The sequence below is a fragment of the Homo sapiens genome, chromosome 14 (assembly GCF_000001405.40).
Source record: "Homo sapiens chromosome 14, GRCh38.p14 Primary Assembly".
NCBI lineage: Eukaryota > Metazoa > Chordata > Mammalia > Primates > Hominidae > Homo > Homo sapiens.
Genome location: NC_000014.9, coordinates 63,370,090 through 63,389,227, shown reverse-complemented (window position 1 = coordinate 63,389,227; position 19,138 = coordinate 63,370,090). Strand labels below are relative to the sequence as shown.

General features: G+C 39.1%; 1 protein-coding gene across 9 annotated transcripts in view; it reads left to right on the top strand.

Annotated features, from left to right (window-relative positions):
* Positions 1–17,864, top strand: part of PPP2R5E (protein phosphatase 2 regulatory subunit B'epsilon) — a 172,014-nt gene extending 154,150 nt beyond the window's left edge. For 7 of the 9 annotated variants that reach the window (NR_104104.3, NM_001282179.3, NM_006246.5 and 4 more), the window contains 3 exons: positions 4,657–4,784; positions 7,071–7,172; positions 13,120–17,864. Coding sequence is in view for 8 of the 9 variants with exons in the window: in NM_001282179.3 (NP_001269108.1) it covers positions 4,657–4,784; positions 7,071–7,172; positions 13,120–13,219 (330 nt within the window). In the remaining variant the exon portion in view is untranslated. The remainder of the gene's footprint in view (positions 1–4,656; positions 4,785–7,070; positions 7,173–13,119) is intronic. The other 2 variants (XM_047431543.1, NM_001282180.3) reach the window with 1 other exon arrangement.
* Positions 17,865–19,138: the final 1,274 nt, after the last annotated feature.

Here is a 19,138-nt window from a genome sequence, read left to right as displayed (position 1 = left end):
ACCTAATATTCCTTACTATGCTAGATACTTTAGGTACATTATTTATAAATGTCCCATTATCCTCTGAAGCTTTTCTAGATGAAAAAAAAAAAAAAATGAGGCTTGGAGAACAATTTACTATAGGTCCCAAGTTAATAGAGAGTAGAGTCAAATTTTGATCTTTGGTGTAGCTGCTTGCTAAAGCCGGTGACCTTCCCATAGCACTGCTCTGCCTCCTCGTGGCCACTCGGGGCAACACTTTTCTTTCTTGGGGCCATGGCTGCAGTGCTGTGGAACCCACACAGGAGGGAAGAAGGGTAAACTGGGGGAGCACACGTTAGGTTTGATTCTTTGGCTGTCTCACCTAAGGCCCGTTTCATAAACCTAGACTGTGCCTATTGATTGGAAGAGATTGTTCAGACTGTGGTTCTTAGCGCAGAACCAGACCTCTAACGGTGTCATTTGATGGCGGACTTTTTCCCTAAGCTGTCAACTATGCTGTATAGTTAGAGACACTAGCTGCTGCTGTTGTTTTGATTTCTGACCAAAAGACATGTTAATATGTTAAAGCAGTGACTTTATGGCAGTCTAGCAGTTGTACCGCAAAGCAAGAAAAAAGAAGATAGAAATCATGACAAGCCTGAATAAAAATGGAAAAATTACAGAACAGTATATAGATATTTTGATACCACTCAGGGCCTTTAGTGCTCACACATCTGGATTGTTTACCTTATTTTTTTCAGTTTTCAGCAGGATGTTTGGCATTATGGAGGTCAAGGAACAAGTATTTTTTTAAAAATGAGCATCATCGGCTGGGCGCAGTGGCTCATGCCTGTGATCCCAGCACTTTGGGAGGCTGAGGCGGGTGGATCATGAGGTCAGGAGTTTGCGACCAGCCTGGCCACCATGGTGAAACCCTGTCTCTATTAAAAATACAAAAATTAGCTGGACGTGGTGGCGGGCGCCTGTAATCCCAACTACTCGGGAAGCTGAGGCAGGAGAATCGCTTGAAACTGGAAGGCAGAGATTGCAGTGAGCTGAGATCATGCCATTGTACTCCAGCCTGGGCAACAAGAGCGAAACTCCATCTAAAAAACAAAAAAAGAAAGAAAAAAGAAAGGAGAAAAAAAAAAAAAGAGCATCACCAGAAAGGCCTAAGCGTTACTCAGAAGCTTAGAAAAGAGAGGCCATGTCTTTGTCAGCTTGGGCTGCCATAACAAGACTGGCGACTTAAACGACATTTATTTTCTCACAGCCCTGGAGGCCAGAAGTTTGAGATCAGGATGACAGCATGGTTGGTTTCTGGTGAGATCCTGCTTTCTGGCATGCAGATGGCCTTCTTCTTGCTGTATGCTCACGTGGCCTTTCCTGGCATGTGCATACAGAGAGAGGCAATCTCACTCTCTTCCTCTTCTTATAAGGCCCCTGTATTATCTGGTTAGGACCCCACCCTTATGAGCTCATGTAACCTTAATTACCTCCTAAAAGTCTTGTGTCCAAATATAGTCACGTTGGGGATTAGGACTTCAACATATGAATTGTGGAGGGGACACAATTCAATTTGTCGAAGAAAGAAAAAAGGATTTTAAATTATTTGGCAGAAGTAAAATTGAGAACAAAGGGAAGAGGCTCTTATTTATTAAGTGTTCATTAATAAATGTTTGCTGGTTCATCCACAAACATTTATTAATGAATTTGCTGGTTCATCCATTTATTGAGTGGCCGCCTTATGTAGCCAGACACTTATCATTGCTTGCTTCAGGTATGGCATTAAGATCTGAGGTCTGCACGCTGGTGACACTGCCTCTGTGTGTGCAGAAGGACAGTGGATCCCAGGAAAGTAGTGGCTCTGTCCTGTTGTCAGACACAGTAATTTTTAACTTTGCATAAACAATACCTTTCCTCTTTAAGGGGCTGGATACATACTTTTATTAGTGGGTTTACATATTAAAATGGATATATAAGAGATTAAGGAAGTTGTTAGAGTTAAATGGCAGGTAAATATTGGATTCTGGAGGAATGTCCAAAGAGACCACGGGAGGATGCCAGTAAAGAAGGAGGCACCTAGGATTTTCCTCTAACCAGTTAGAATGTTCAGAACAGCCTCATTCTTACTCCTTTTTTTCTCCCTCTCCTTGCCTCCTGCTTTATCTGTGTCAGTTACGTCATTTGCTTTGATGATTCCCAAACACATTGTCCTCGTCCATGCCTCTGTCCTCCTTTCCTTAATGCCCTCTACCTGGAATGCCCTTTCCTTCATCCTTCGAAGCCGAGCTTAAATGCCACTTGCCTATGTTACATTTCTTTCTTCTTTTTTTTTTTTTTGAGATGGAGTCTTGCTGTGTTGCCCAGGCTGCAGTGCAGTGGTACAGTCACAGTTCACTGCAGCATCTGCCTCCCGGGTTCAAGCGATTCTTGTGCCTCAGCCTCCCGAGTAGCTGGGACCACAGGCATGCCCCACCATGCCCAGCTAATTTTTATGTTTTTAGTAGAGATGGGGGTTTTACCATGTTGGCCAGACTGGTCTCGAACTCCTGACCTCAAATGATCCACCCACCTTGGCCTCCCAAAGTGCTGAGATTACAGGCATGAGCCACCACACCCAGCCCCACCTATGTTACATTTCTGCCACCCTTCTGTTTCCCAAGTCATCTGGATTGTTGATTCTGCTCTTTTCCCCTCCTTCCCCTGACACTTTATTCATATATCTGATATAGCATCTGTCACAGTTTACATTGGATAGGCTTGTAGATGCCCCTTCTCCCACCAGTGTGCGAACTCTTTAGGGATAACAGAGTAAAGAGGTTAAGAATAGAGACTTTGGAATCTGCCACTTACTAGCCATGTGACCTTGAGCCAATGGCTTCTCTGAGTCTCAGATTCTTCATCCACAAAATAGAAAAGTAATGGTACCAACTCTGTTGGTTGTGAGGAAATGAGATATTATATATGTGGGACACTTAGCACAGTGCCTGGCATATAGTGAACATGCAGTAATGATTGTTTTCTTTGTACTCTCAGGGTCTGGTGCCTAATGAGTCTCAGGGTTTTGTTTTGTTTTTTGAACCAAGCTGAATAATGTAAATGGAAAAATTCTGTTTTCTCAGTGTCTTTCGGTAGATACATCTTATACCATTTTGTTCTCTTCTAAAACAGGGCTTCTTAATCTGTATAAATGAAGGAAGCCACCCCTTTTTCCCTTTTCCCCTGTAACTACCCTTTTTAGAGATTTTAGGTTTTGTTTTTGAGATGTTCTTTTGAATTCATGAAATCCAAGATGAGCCAATCAGGCCCAGCAGACCAAATTAGAGCCAGTTGATAGCATGGTGGGCAGAGAAAAGGGATCTAAGAGAGCAGAGAGGGTAGGTGCAGCCAGTGTCCCTGAGACCAGAAACTGAGCAGACATCTCCTGGCTTGCACAGGAAGGGACCAGAAACAAACTCTGGAAGAAGCCCTAGAAATGAGGCCCCAGTCTTTACCATATTGTCAGTGTAACCTTGCCTACATTACTCAGTCTCCCTGAGTCTCTGTGTCCTCACCTGTAAAATGAGCACAATGGTATCTCCTTCTGGGATGGTGGTAAGGATGATACATTCTACTTGCTGTGTAGGCACAGTGCCTGCCCATAGGAGGTACTTAGTAAATATTGGCCGCTCTACAGGGATGAGCAACTGTGGGTGTTCCTCAGTAGCTGTGACTGAATGCTAACCATATGCTGGGCCCTGGGTTCGATCTAAGTGTGTGTGATGAAAAACATAAGAAAGGGGACCAGTGAGATGTGCTAAAGTGATGTCAGGAAAGTGTGGAATCAGATGACATGGGCAGAATTAGAGAAGAATATAAATTAACAGGAAAACTTCTTTTCCTTCCCTGAGTCGATGAACCACTTGAACCACTCTGGACTTTTTTTTTGGTGGGAGGAGAAGACACGGTCTTGCTCTGTCACCCAAGCTGGAGTTCAGTGGCATGATCTCCACTCACTGCAACCTCCGCCTCCCAGGCTCAAGCAGTCCTCCCACCTCAGCCTCCCAAGTAGGTGGGACTATAGGCACATGCCACCAATCCCGGCTAATTTTTGTGTTTTTGTAGAGGCGAGGTCTCCCCATGTTGCCCAGGCTGGTCTCAGACTCTTGGGCTCAAGTGATCTGCCTGCCTTGGCCTCCCAAAGTGCTGGGATTACAGGTGTGAGCCACCGTGCCTGGCCCACTTTGGAATTTTCCAAGAGATTAAAAATCCACAAACATTTAAAATGTGGGCCAGGCACGGTGGTTCACGCCTGTAATCCCAACACTTTTGGGAGGCTGAGGTGGGCGGATCACGAGGTCAGGAGATCGAGACCATCCTGGCCAATGTGGTGAAACCCCGCCTCTACTAAAAATACAAACATTAGCTAGGCATAGTGGCATGTGCCTGTAATCCCAGTTACTCGGGAGGCTGAGGCAGGAGAATCGCTTGAACCCGAGAGGCGGAGGTTGCAGAGAGCCGAGATCGCGCCACTAGCGAGACTCCCATCTCAAAAAATATATATATATTAAAATGTGATTAATATTTAATTTTACCTCTAATTGAATGATTTACAAATAGCCTTTTGAAATACTTTTGTTTGGAAAGATTTATAATTTTGTTTTATCTTTGTCTTTTTCTCTCTCTTAACATTTTATTTTTCTTTTCCCAAAGGTGGCAGAAAGAGCACTCTATTATTGGAATAATGAATACATCATGAGTTTGATAGAAGAAAACTCTAACGTCATCCTTCCCATCATGTTTTCCAGCCTTTATAGGATTTCAAAAGAACATTGGAATCCGTAGGTTTTCAGTTTCTTTCCTCCGTTCTCTTCCTCCCTTCCTCTCTTTCTTTCCCTTCAGCCTTATTATGTGCCAGATGCTGTCCTTGTTGCTGAAGACGTATGTGAAAAGATAAAATCCTTACCTTCTGGGGATTCACTGACTGGAGAAAATAAACAGATACTTTAACAAAATACCGGTTAAAGTATCTGTTTACTAGACAGGCTTCTTGATCTGTCTATGAAGGTAGCAGATCTTTTGGGGAGGCACTGCAGCTGAGAGGAGAGGTGTGTAGATACTGACAGCATGGCCATGCTTAGACTGAATCTGAAAGGAATTTGGCAGGTGGATGGCATGGGGAGAGCCCTTTCAGACAGTGGGTCCATCCATCATGTTAAAAGGCACAAAGATGTAAAAAGCAGCTGTCAGTTTCTGAGACCTGTGAGTTTGGGAGGGCTGAGGCACAAGGTCTTTTGGGGAGGGTGCTAGAGGATGTGGCTAGAAAAGACTGTGGGACTCGTGTGAGCCTTCACCAAGTAGATGATGAGGAAGTACTGAAGGGTTGTTAAGTGGGGAAGTGGTCTGACTAGGTTTTCATTTTAGTGTGATCTATTTAACAGCCAACTCAGTCGCTATATGTATCTCTTGGAAAGGAAGGAGTTTAAAATCATCAAGGGAAGTTTAACATCCAGCCCTATGAAAGTTAAAGCATTCTGAATTTGAATGCCTTTACATTTTTCTCTGTGGAATAGAAGGAAAATTTAATGTGGTATTTAAAAATTGGGAGATACAATTCAGTATATTCATAATATGTTTATCTTTAAAAATTTTGCATGTAATTATAAAATATCACATTTCTAATTTTTCAAATTTGCCTAATTATATTAATAGAACTTGTAAAAATAAGGAGCTGATAAACAGTTAAGTCCCTTTATACAGATAGTCTCTTGAGGACCTAGAGAACGGTTCTAGCAAGTGTCTGTAACTACTCAGTATACTACATTTGGTGCTTTCCCATCACTGCCCTTGGGAGGAAGGTCATTCTGGAACCTTAACAGAAAAGAACTTAAATTTTCCTTTTAATGGCACAAGGCAGAAGCTACACAGCAAGTGTACTTTCTTGTAAATGTTTTGGAAACATCAGACTCATGGTTTATTTAATATATGGCTAATTTTTACCAATGCATTTTTCAGTGGTATTAGGAGCATGTTTGTTGCAAAACGGAAGCAACGGATATTTTTGCAAAAGGAAAAGCTATTTAGACTCTAGTCTGAAGCTATCAAGCCCATCATAACCTTGTCCTCACATTGCCCAAGAGCTAATTCTTGTTAAGTATGGGCTACCATTTTGGCTGTTTAGCTGTATAGTGTCCCATAGCTAATAGCAACCATCCCAGCTTGCCAGTTATCAGCATATATTTTGGGTCAGCAGGACTGGTGCAGATCAGAGCTAGACAGATAATTCATATTGAACCACCCAACCTACATGAGGGCTTGATTTCATTTCTTTGGATAAGAATAATTTATATATATACACATATATATATAACATTTGTTTCTAGGGAAGTAGCTTCTGATTTTGATGAATTATGTGTTATTTAGAAAATAGAATTCTATGCAAATTCAGATGTCTAAGGTTAGTGCTATCACAGATCCTTATTTTAGGGTGAAATTGCTTTACTATTATACTTGCCTTTTTATTAAATGAAATTATCAAATGCCCACAGGCAGCTCTATTCTGGGTGCCAATAATTAGAAGGGCAGGCCAGGTGTGGTGGCTCACGCCTATAATCCCAGCACTTTGGGAGGCCGAGGCAGGCAGATCACCTGAGGTTGGGAGTTCGAGACCAGCCTGACCAACATGGAGAAACCTCGTCTCTACTAAAAATACAAAATTAGCCAGGTGTGGTGGCTCGCTTCTGTAATCCCAGCTACCCAGGAGACTGAGGCAGGAGAATTGCTTGAACCCAAGAGGCGGAGGTTGCGGTGAGCCAAGATGGTGCCATTGCACTCCAGCCTGGGCAACAAGAGCGAAACTCCGTTGCAAAAAAAAAAAAAAAGAAATTAGAAGGGCAAAGTTAGATTTTTTTTCTAGTTCTACCACCCCTCAGAAAATTATCTTGCCTTGAAATCTCTTGATGTGGAAATGAACTGTAGGTCATTTTCAGTTGTTCCAACTAAAAAAGGATACAGACAGTGTGCAGTACGAGAAATCATTCAGACAAAAGTTGTGCTTTTGCTTTCTTCATTCAGTATCCCATTTTATAAGACTAACTAACACACTCCTTTTTTTCTGTGCTTTCCAGGGCTATTGTGGCGTTGGTGTACAATGTGTTGAAGGCATTTATGGAAATGAACAGCACCATGTTTGACGAGCTGACAGCCACATACAAGTCAGATCGTCAGCGGTAACTTTTTAAAGCTTTTTTGTCAGCTGTGCATAAAGCTATTGAGTTTTTTCCTTGCTCTTTGCTGAAGTTGCCTAATTGTACCCCAAATCTTAAGCAGCACAATTTTGTTTACAGTCATGCATTACTTAACAACCAGTATATGTTCTGAGAAATGCATCCTTAGGCAATTGTATTGTGTGAACATCATAAGTATACAGTAATTACACAAACCTAGATGGTGTAGCCTACTATGACACACCTGAACTATGTAGTATTGCCTGTTCTTCCCAGGCTACAAACCTGTGGTGAATACCGTAGCCAATTGTAACACAAATCACTAGGCAGTAGGCCTTTTTCAACCCTGTTAAAATTTTATGGGACCACCGTGGTATATGTGGTCTGTGTTGACCGAAATGTTGTTATTTGGCACATGACTGTATTTATATATTCATTTTTGCACACTTATTAACTGTGTCTTTATTTATTTATTACTGTGCCACTGAGTAACAAAGCTTCCTGACACTCATTTTGATAAAGCCCGCTTTCTTTCCTTTCTTTAATAATATTTCACTTCTGCCTCAGGGTTAAGAGCCCAGCATTTAACTGGTATTTTAGGTTCACTTAAAGGGACCATCAGGTAGTTTGCTCTCTGGGATTCACTCCCACTCTGAACTTACTTGAAGTATAATTGGGCAGATCTTGTACTTCACTCCAATAGCAGGGGGAATGAGGCACCATTTATCTAGCTCTTGGGCCCAGGACTTACTAGAACCCAACAAATTTATTACAATTTAAAGATCAGTGAAAAGAACATGAAGGTTAATAGTCTGGTATTAACCAGAAATGTTTGAGACCATATGGGAGAACAAACCAGTGGAACTCTTTGCAATAAATGCTTATGGCTTAGTAAAAATCTTGTCCAATGCATTCTACTTTCCAAAAGATGTACTTGGGGAGATTATAGAAGTCTAGAGAGCTCTTAGTAGTTGCGCCTGTGGTTTGGCTTTGATCATCCATAAGCAGATGTCAGCTTTGTATATCATAAAGCTATGGACCTTAGAGGACCCAGAGATGTGTGCGAGTGTTCATACCCAGGGTCTTGCTGAACCTCTCTGGTTCCCTTGGTGCTTTGCTTTGTCTCATTTTTAGTCTGTCAACTTGCATTTTATTGATAAAAAGAGCAATGAGGGGAAAGGTTTGATGGCAGAGGGACCATTGCAATGATTTTTTTGTTTTAAGTTACCAGGGATGTGGTTTATGAAAACCAACTTAATTATGGAATGTGGTGAGTATTTAGCTGAGAATCTCAGAAGAGGCTGGGATTTTTTACCCAGAATATTGGGATTATTATCAATTATGGGATATGTTATTCCATACTCACAGTTTAAACAACTTTTTTTTTTTTGTTTTTTGAGATGGAGTCTTGCTCTGTTGCCCAGGCTGGAGTGCAGTGGCGCGATCTCAGCTCACTGCAAGCTCCGCCTCCCAGGTTCATGCCATTCTCCTGCCTCAGCCTCCTAAGTAGCTGGGACTACAAGCACCCGCCACCACGCCTGGCTAATTTTTTGTATTTTTACTAGAGACAGGGTTTCACTGTGCTAGTCAGGATGGTCTCGATCTCCTGACCTCATGATCCACCTGCCTCGGCCTCCCAAAGTGCTGGGATTACAGGCGTAAGCCACCGCGCCCAGCCCTAAACAACTTTTAATTCAGTATATTAGCGATTGTTGCAAATTATAAATTTATGATAACCCTCCTTGCCCCAAACTTAAAATCTTTAAAGGATGTTACTTAAAAAAACGGCCAAGGGTACATTTTAATACTGTGTTGCATCGTTAAAGGTGCTTTGTGCATAACATCTTCTCTGAAAGCACATTATTATTATCCTAGTTGAACCAGGATTAAATCCGTAGAATCTCATCAAGAATATTGAAGAACTTGGCTGGGCACGGTAGCTCACGCCTGTAATCCCATCACTTTGGGAGGCTGAGGCGGGCGGGTCATCTGAGGTCAGGAGTTCGAGACCATCCTGGCCGAATGGTGAAACCCTGTCTCTACTAAAAGTATGAAAATTAGCCAGGCACGGTGGCATGCGCTTGTGGTCCCAGCTACTAGGGAGACTGAGTTGGGAGGGTCAGTTGAACCCGGGAGGTGGAGGTTGCAGTGAGCTAAGATCATGCCACTGTACTCCAGCTTGGACATTGGAGTGAGACTCTGTCTCAAAAAAAAAAAAAAAAAAAAAAAAAAGAGAGAGAATATTGAAGAACAACTTATTTCCACTCAAATTATTTGGTTTGTATTTAGTGAACTTCAATAATAAAACTATTTTCTGGTTATTATCTAAACTAAATAGACTAAACCCTTGAAAAAGATGAGAATTAACTAAGGGGACCAGGAATAGATAAAACTATTATTTTATCTATTCCTGGTTGAGGTTGATTATGATATTCTGGCATATTACAGTTATTTATAATGAGTGTACTTTCTTAATGAGAAAATGGGGGCCAGGCGTAGTGGCTCACGCCTGTAATCGCAGCACTTTGGGAGGCCAAGGCAGGCGGATCACCTGAGGTTGGGAATTTGCGACCAGCCTGACCAACATGGAGAAACTCCATCTCTACTAAAAAATACAAAATTAGCCGGGCGTGGAGGCACATGCCTGTAATCCCAGCTACTCAGGAGGCTGAGGCAGGAGAATCACTTGAACCCGGGAAGGGGAGGTTGCCATGAGCAGAGATTGCATCATTGTACTCCAGCCTGGGCAACAAGAGGAATCCCAGCTCTTTGGGAGGCCGAGGCGGGCGGATCACGAGGTTAGGAGATCGAGACCATCCTGGCTAACATGGTGAAACCCCGTCTCTACTAAAACTACAAAAAATTAGCAGGGCGTGGTGGCGGGTGCCTGTAGTCCCAGCTACTCGGGAGGGTGAGGCAGGAGAATGGCGTGAACCCAGGAGGCAGAGCTTGCAGTGAGCCGAGATTACACCACTGCACTCCAGCCTGGGCGACAGAGCGAGACTCCGTCTCGAAAAAAAAAAAAAAGAAAATGGGTTTTTAAAAGCAAGAATAATAATTTGTCAAATGAGCAATAGAAGGGTGTACTGACAGATGGAAACATTGGTTTCTCCATAGGTGTGGGAATAGGACAAGGGAATGAAGAAATTTAGTTGGTACTGTCAGAGAATAACTGAATGGACAATTTTACTTCAGGATGGCAAGAAGTTAATGGTTTCAGTTCAGATCAAATTTTGAAGTATTACAAATCTGAAAATGGTGGGTGGAATAAGTACTTAACACTGTTAGATACATATGCCAACATTAGTGCTATGTAAAATTGAAATTAGAAGAGAATTTGACAATATCCCCTGCATGACAGTGTGGTTAAGCGTTAAAATTTCCACCTACAGGGAGAGAGAAAAGTGGGAAAGATTGGGGGTGACAATAACTGTGTCAGCAATATTTAGGATTTTTAAAGATAGAGTTGTCAGTATGAAAGCCGTGTGATAACTGAGCATAATGCTCAGTTGGAGGAAAAGCCCAACAGGATAAATTGCATTGAGTGCCATATTTGATCAAAAACATGAAACACTTTAGTAACAAGATGATGAATGTTTTAATGATGTCAACACTTAATTAACCAATTTATGCCTAGTGTTCCATTATTGGAACGCTAAGCTTGTGGGAGTTATTTCTATCCCACTGCTCAAGGTCATCGTCAAGGTCTGATTTTTCACAAGAAAGTTTTACAACCTCTGGCATAAATGGGTTAAAACTGCAAATTAGGGCAATGTGAACCTGAAATACATTGAAATGTTTTTTAGTTGAGTAAAATTCCAAGCCCTTGCTTACCATCCCCTTATCTCTCCAAATAAAAAGGTCATATTCATCGAAAGTCAGCAGGATCTATACAATTGATTTATATATACCCAAATTGTGTTTTTTGCTAACATTGATTTAGACCTCATAATTATTCCCAGACTGTACTGAGAAACAAAAAGTGATAATTTGTCAAACAGCTTGATTATGTTTAGAATCTGGAATGCACCAGGAGTGGTGGTGCACACCTGTAGTCCCAGCCACTCAGGAGGCTGAGGCAAGAGGATTGCTTGAGCCCAGGTGATTGAGGCTACAGTGAGCTATGATTGTGCCACTGCACTTTAGCCTGAGCAACAGAATGAGACCCTGACTCTAAGAAAAGAACAAAAGCAAAAACAAAAAAGCCAGAAGAAGATTGGAGGATTATCTAATCTTGCCCTTATTGTCCTATAAGTGCAATTTTTTCAGGGTCAAAATTAACAAATAGGTAATTTTATGAAAACTAGTCTGCTTACTGAAATTTATATTGTGCAGATTTGTATTTGAGATAGCTGAAACTAATTATGGTAAACAAGGCCTAAGTTATGAAAATATTACCTATTAGATCATGATATTAATTACCATATGGCTTTACTAAGCCATAAACATTTATTGTAAAGAGTTCCACTGGTTTGTGCTCCCATATGGTCTTAAACATTTCTGGTTAATACCAGACTATTATGGCATTATAATTCAACATTTCCTCAAGTCTCTAGTGGAATAAGAATATAAAATTACTTAGGTTTTTCTTGAGTTTTTTGGGAGTTGGAGGGGATGAAGATTAATCTCTATTGCTCTAGATATTAATATAACTTTTAAAAAACATTGGTTATAATGTTTTAAAAAAAATGAGGCATTGGAATTACATACAAATTTCACTCAACCCATGTGGATTTCCCTGCGTAGAAATTGTACTGTGGCTGAAGTTTTAATCCTTGCTAAGTGGGGTAGTGCATGGATTACATCCCCATGCCTGAGATGGTGGAGCCCCCATTTTCAGGAATTATCTGAATTCCTGGATTTATGAATGTTAATCTGGATCAGCATTTTTTTTTTTTTATTTTTTTTTGGAGACGGAGTCTTGCTCTGTCCCCCAGACTGGAGTGCAGTGGTGTGATCTCGGCTCGCTGCAATCTCCGTCCACCACAATCTCCGCCCCCCGGGTTCAAGCGATTCTCCTGACTCAGCCTCCCAAGTAGCTGGGACTCTAGGCATACGCCACCATGCCCGGCTAATTTTTGTATTTTTAGTAGAGACGGGGTCTCACTGATGATCCACCCGCCTCGGCCTCCCAAAGTGCTAGGATTACAGGCGTGAGCCACTGCGCCCAGCCTGGGTCTGCTTTTTATTGGTTCGCTGCAACATGGAAAAAAACCAGAGACAGTGTAGTGAATTATTTTTAGTAAATGTGAATTTATATAACTTACAATATAGTCTTATATTCCTGCATCATGTACTTCCTACTTGGTTGATGTTAAAAATCCTTTTTTTGTAAAAATGTAATTTTAAAATGTCCTTGGCAAAATATAAAGTTTGTCGATTCTAATTTGGACATCTAATTTTTGGGGGAAGTTTTACCAAATAGTGAAATCTCAAAGTCTGAAAATCACTAAATTTAAAATCAGTGAAATTGATATTGAACCCAATTTGAAGGCTTGATGCATTAAAATTTAATACTTAATAATATCAACCAAGTTCTTTTCAGATCATTAAAAGTGAAATCACAAGTTTTCAGTTTCTTCTAAACTACTGAAGAATTTAAATATGCATGAGGTGGGAAAAATAGGAATAAAGGAGCAGATATATTTTCTTGACCTACTATATTCTCTGTATCAGTGTCATCTCCAGCATCCTTTTTGAGAAACTATTTGGAGATAAAGAAAAATTAAGATTCTTACTAAGCTGCAAGTGAAAATCACTAATATGCCCTTGATTTTACAATAACTGATGCATATAAGTCATTCCCATTTTTGTTTCTTAGTAATTTTAAAGTTAATTTTCTCAATTAAGCTAAGTATAAAGGAGTGTTAAGGTGAAATTGTAAAATATTCATTGTTGCATAATCTCATTAAACCTCAGCTGTTTACATTGTATTCTGTTTCTTCCTCAGTGAGAAAAAGAAAGAAAAGGAGCGTGAAGAATTGTGGAAAAAATTGGAGGATCTGGAGTTAAAGAGAGGTCTTAGACGTGATGGAATAATTCCAACTTAACAAAAACAATGACAACAACATTACTAACCTGTGGAGTCACACGTTTATGTAGTAGAAGATGGAGCAACAGTTTTCTGTATTGTGCAACTTTACAGTAGATTTCACCTTTGTTTCATTATTACAGCAGCACTGTATATACCTGTCTCTAAGTAAAGGAAAAAACAAAATAAGGACTTCAATCCAAAGTTTGGACAGTAGATGGACTTCTCAGAACTTTGCAAACATAATCATTGTTCTCACCCTCTTTTAAAAAAAAAAATCGGTCTTCAAAGATCTGTTGATGAAATTGCTATGTTAAAATTCCATTATCGGGAGTTCCTTATTTATCACTAGCAGAGAGTATGATACAATTTTCAAATGTGAACAATCTTAAATTTAGCTTGTCTTTCTGCTAAGCTGTTAAATGTATTTATAGTAAAGGAAGAAAAAAAGACTGTCATTTCCTTATAAGTTTGTGTAACATCCTCCTCTGGATAACTTGACTGTAATTTAACATCTTTTTCTTTTGCACATCTTCCTGAGTTGAATGTCCACGTGGAATGGGGTCATGAATTATAAAAGTCCCTGATAAAAGTTTTGTTTACTGGGGTGAACATCTTTCCAGTAACCAGGTAGTCCTGGTACTCCTTTAGTTTTAAAATTAGGAGTTAAGAGAGAAGAGGTGATAAACATAGTAGGGAAGGGAATATCGGATTCATGCATCAGTTTATGGTGAATCCAAATCAATGTCTTGAATCCTTTGAAAACAGGCACTGGGACATCACAGGCTTCAGTACCTGACCAGTATTAGTTGCATATATCATTGAACACACATACCAGAGATGTTTTAGAAATGTGAGAAAAACATCCTTTTGGACCATTTGAAATAAGAAAGACAAACACTAAACAATACAACCATGAAATTGATCACCGGGATTGCAAATCTAATTGGGAAAAGAGTTGAGCAAACAGCTTGGACTGTTTGGAGTTGTTGCCTTACTTTTTAATATGTATTTATAAAGTATTCCAGCAAAAGAGGATGTAGCCTCTGGGAAAAAACAAACATGTTACAGTGTTTTTTGTAGATTCTCGTTCTATATCTCATCACAGCGCCAGCCCTGTTTTTAGCCGGAAAGGATTCAGGATAAACATTATTATGCATTCTGAATTGGATGCATATTCCTAACTACTGTATTTGTTACCAAAAGTGGTTCTACAAATGCTACTGAAAAAAATCTGGAAATTCCTAATGTCCTGAGTATTAATAATAAAGTTTAAAAATGCTTTTATATCAAAGGTGCATCGTGACCAAATTGTTTAAGAAAAAAAAACAAAAAAAACAAAATCTAGGGCTGTATTTTATATATATATATATATATATATATATATATATATCTTATTGGCTCTCTGCTTTGTATTTAAATGAAGAATCTTACATCTTGGGTAGGTAAACTGCTGATAAAATTTGTGTACAGTATGTACTTACCTAATGCAGTTGCATTATTACGTACTGAAAGATATGTGTTTGGAGGTTTATTTCCAGGATGCATTTGCTTGTTTTGGTCATGGCAGCAGTGAGTTGGTAATCCTAAACCATCACTTCCAGCAGTATTCATGGTATAGAGCTGATCTGTGTTCATATGTTGAATTGTGATAGTAGCAAACATGAACATATGAACTATTGTTGCTCTTAATAGAAATACAATATAAATATGGGCTTGTATATTTTCTTCCTTACATTTAAATATAAAGTAGAATACGCAGTTTTATTATTTTCAAGAAAAAGAAAGAGAAGCTGCTGACCTTTCTCCCCCATAAAGTTTTTCAGGATGATCAGGTCACAGTGTGTACGTAAGAGTCAGCTAATTATGGATATTGTCATCTCGGTAACTTTGTAAAAAAACAAACAAAACTGGCATTGTTAATTCCAAAAAGAAAAAAAAAAGCAGTAAAAAAAAAAAGTCATATGCAACACCAGACGCAACATGGTTTAATGGAATTAATAGTTTTTTTTTTTTTTTTTTTAAAGAACATTGATGGGGATTCACTGTAAAGTTGGCAGAGGCTGCCAAAGACGAAACAACTGACTTTAAAAATGCTGGAACAATGTGATAAAAAATAAATTTGTAACAAATCTTCTCCTTTTTAGCCCTTGTCATTTTAGCCCTTTAGTTTCAACTCTGCATTATATTTAGTTTATATAGTGTAAACTTTTGTTTGCCATTAATTCATCTTTTTAGGTAGAAGACATTAAAATCACAGGTTTATGAAGAATCTCTGCTCATTGGAATGAAATGCAGTCATTTGAAATGAGAAAGGCCAGGATCCTTTTTTGTACCTTACCCTGTCTTCAAGAGTAAAGGTGAACACTTACAGCTCTCCTCCTTGATGTCAATTTTGTATGTTGATCATTCCAAACTGAGAAGAATAAAGCCACATTTTAGACATATTTATAGAATCAATTAAAGCTATATGTCTAAAATTCGTAGGGCAACTTCTGAGAAGAAACACCGTCTTTTTCTTTTTTAATGGAAAGTGACAATGTGACATTAGTCATGTTGTGTGCGGTGACGCAGAGTAACTGAGGTAATCTGACTGTTGCACTATGTGACATATTTCAGGACGTACTTGCTGCATTTGCAGCAGCCCTCTCTCTCTGTCCCTTCCCACAATTCTGCTGTTGCTGCAACTTGAGTTAATTGTGACAAATGCATCTTTGTGTTATATTTTGTTTGCTTCATAATTTCCAGAACTATATATAAATATATTTTTTAAATAGCAAATATTGTAGTTAGTGAGTGATGATCACTCCAACCTTATCCTTACCATATTGGTTTCAGGGATAGGATTAAGAGTGTCTTTGGAAGAGAAAAATACACACAACCCTGTGGTTTAGAATGACGCTGAGGCCTTAGGCTGTGGGCCTAGAACAACTATGTGAGTGAATTCACCCATCTCATACTTTGAATCAAGCATGCATTCCTGTTTCTCATTGTGAAGTATCCCCAGTTGTTTTCCTTCAGTGTTGAGTTTTTGTCCTTTTAAATTTTATTATATTTTGCTCTCCCTAACATTTGACTGTTTTTTATAAAAGAAAAGAAAAAAAAAGAAATAAATAATACCCTCGATGCCACTGGATACTCACAAGCAGGGTTATGCTCCTTCATCTTGGGCTTGTTTGCCTAAATGAAAGGGTTTAATTTATTTTGTACCTCCTATGCGTGGGATAGTCCAGGGTGCAGAGCCAGGACTTGCTTGTAATTGCACCTGCTATACTTAAATGTATAGCCCTAGGCTCAATCACACTATGGAAAGAAACAAAAAAAGTATATTTAGAGCTTTAAAAGCTTTTTTATTTTTTTGTGGGGATGAGGGTGGGATGGGAAAGGGATGTATGGATGTTATTGGCATTTTTAAGTGTTTAGAGTTTTTTGGGGTTTGGGGTGGTTTTTTTTCCTTGTTTTCCTTTTTTCCTTTTAATTGGATGCACTGACCTGGCCCAGGAAATGAAGAGATTCTCTTTTGATGCTATTACCAATGTTATCATAAAGTGACAGTCACCTGTAACAAAAAGGTGGCACCAGACATGATCACTGATGTTTTATTTGCACATCAATATTTTTATTTTTGTATTCTGGCTCAGCTGCTTCTCTGAGTGGAGTTAAGGAATGAGCCACAAAGATTTTTGTAGTAGGTATATTGGCATTGCATTTTATATTCCTCTATATTTAATTTTGAAAACCTAAAAGAAGGATTGTGCATCTTGAGAGAAAGTTGAGCAAATTGTGATCTAGCGGAATGTTAATTTGTGCTGCTTCTTGTGCACGATAGCAGCAGTAGTATCTCTCTTGGAAATAAACATCCCATATTATGATGTCTATGAATATAGGTTTCCTTTTCTTCCTTCCCTCCCTCCTTCCCCCACCTTTCTCTTTTTTTTTTCTCTCTCAGCTTCTCTTTTCCTCCTTCCCTCTTCCCTTCCTCTTTCTTTACTTTTTTTGAAATCACTTATTGTAAATAAGTTGTAATCCAAACCTCATGTATCAATGGGGAATTTTCAAATATAAATATTACCAATGCATTTTCTGGTTGTTGTCTGATTTTTGATTGAAGTATAATGAGAATGACATGTCTGTTGCTTTTGGTTTGAGGACTTCGCTTTAGCTTCATAAATCTTTTGGTATTTTAGTATTTCATTGTTTTAGCAGGAGAGGGCAGCAAAAGTTCATTTTCCCTGTTAGTAATGCTGTGGTTCATGATCGGTTTTAAATTTAGCTGTGTGTGTGTTTTTTTAAACAGCATCTCTTTGTGAGTAGAGGTAAAAATGAAACATTTTTGATATGAAAAGTTGCATATGAAAATTATAGACTGGTTCAACCAGACAGTGAAGACTTCTGATCCACATCAAACTTAAAATGCCACAAAACAATCTTCCACCTCTGGCTAAAACATGCTACTTCCTTTTCAAACACCACAAAATACAAGCTGAGTCTTAAACACTTGGAATTTAAAATGTTTTTCTTTGGAAATGATTTGCTTTCTTCAAAGTGGTAACAGAAACAAAAATGAAGGTGCTCCCCAAAAAGAAATGTAACCTTCCCCTTTCACAGATGTGTGAGAGGTTCTGTACTGTGGGTGCATCATAATAAAGAAGCAGTGAAGAGTTTTCAGGTGCCTGGCTGTTTTTGTTTGTTTGTTTCTGAACTCCGTGGCCTTTTGAACCATACAAATATTAGATTTGATTAACTTAGCTTTGAGGCAGTGGGGTTGGTATGTTCAGGCTTTCATTTTGAGAAGTCAGTTTATGATTATGAGTATGTAATATTGGGAAATGGTCCAGTATCGGTTGCTGTATAACATACTACTCCAAAAGTAGAGGCTTAGAAAAACAACAATTTATTCTCATCACAAATCTATAGTTTGGGAAGGACTTGGCAAGAACATCGTGTCTCTGATCCTCGAGTGTCAACCAGGGTGTCACAGGTGGGGCAGGAAACTTCACTTTCAACATGGCTCACTTACATGGTTGACAAGTTAGTGCTGACATTTGGCTTGGAGTTAAACCAGGGGTCTCAGTTCTTCCTCACAGTACTTTCTTCTTGGGCTTCCTCACAGCATGGCAGCTGGGTTCTAGGAGGCAGGAAGTGGAAACTGCCTCTTCTTTGAGGCCTGGGCCCAGAAACTATCATGGCATCACCTCCATCATATTCTATTGGTCAGGCGGTCACAGAACCTGCTCAGATTCAAGTGGAGGGGGCATAGTCCTCACTGTGAATCAATGAGAAGTATTTTCAGTGATTTGCAGTTATCTTTAAGCTACCATGGGATAGTTTTTTTTTTTTTTTGTAAAGTATTTGATTTAGGTGTGATCTACGCCCTTAGCTAATTAAATTACATCAAATTGGAACCATGTGGAATTAACCAATTAATATTTCATATTAAAATTAATCTGGGTTTGGAAGGGAAAAGCCCTTGTATATGTCAGCAATTTTGTATTTCAAAGCATAACCACTTGTAGCACCTGAAGATCAACCTCTTGGTAAGTTAGAAATAAGAAACTTGTAACAGAAAATTTTAGGGTTCAAGAGACTTAAGAGATGATTTTAAGAAAATATTTAATTCTTTGCATAATGTTGCTTCCTGTCTATAAGTAAATATTTACAAGAATGGATGCAAAGTAAATGTACACTAAAGATACAGATTTTTGTATAAGTAGTATGTCTATTAGATAAGTAATGTTTCTGTTAAAGTTTACATTATACTTTTAAAGTTTTTTAAGGGAGACCAAAGTATGTGATTGTTAAAGGGGAATTAGTTTGACTTTTTTTTAATGATTTTTTTTGGAGAAAGTATTGCTTTTTTGTTATTAGGCACATACTTTTTGTGGACCACTGGAAACAAGAGTAGATAAACATTTATTGCCTATCAGCCAAATGAGAG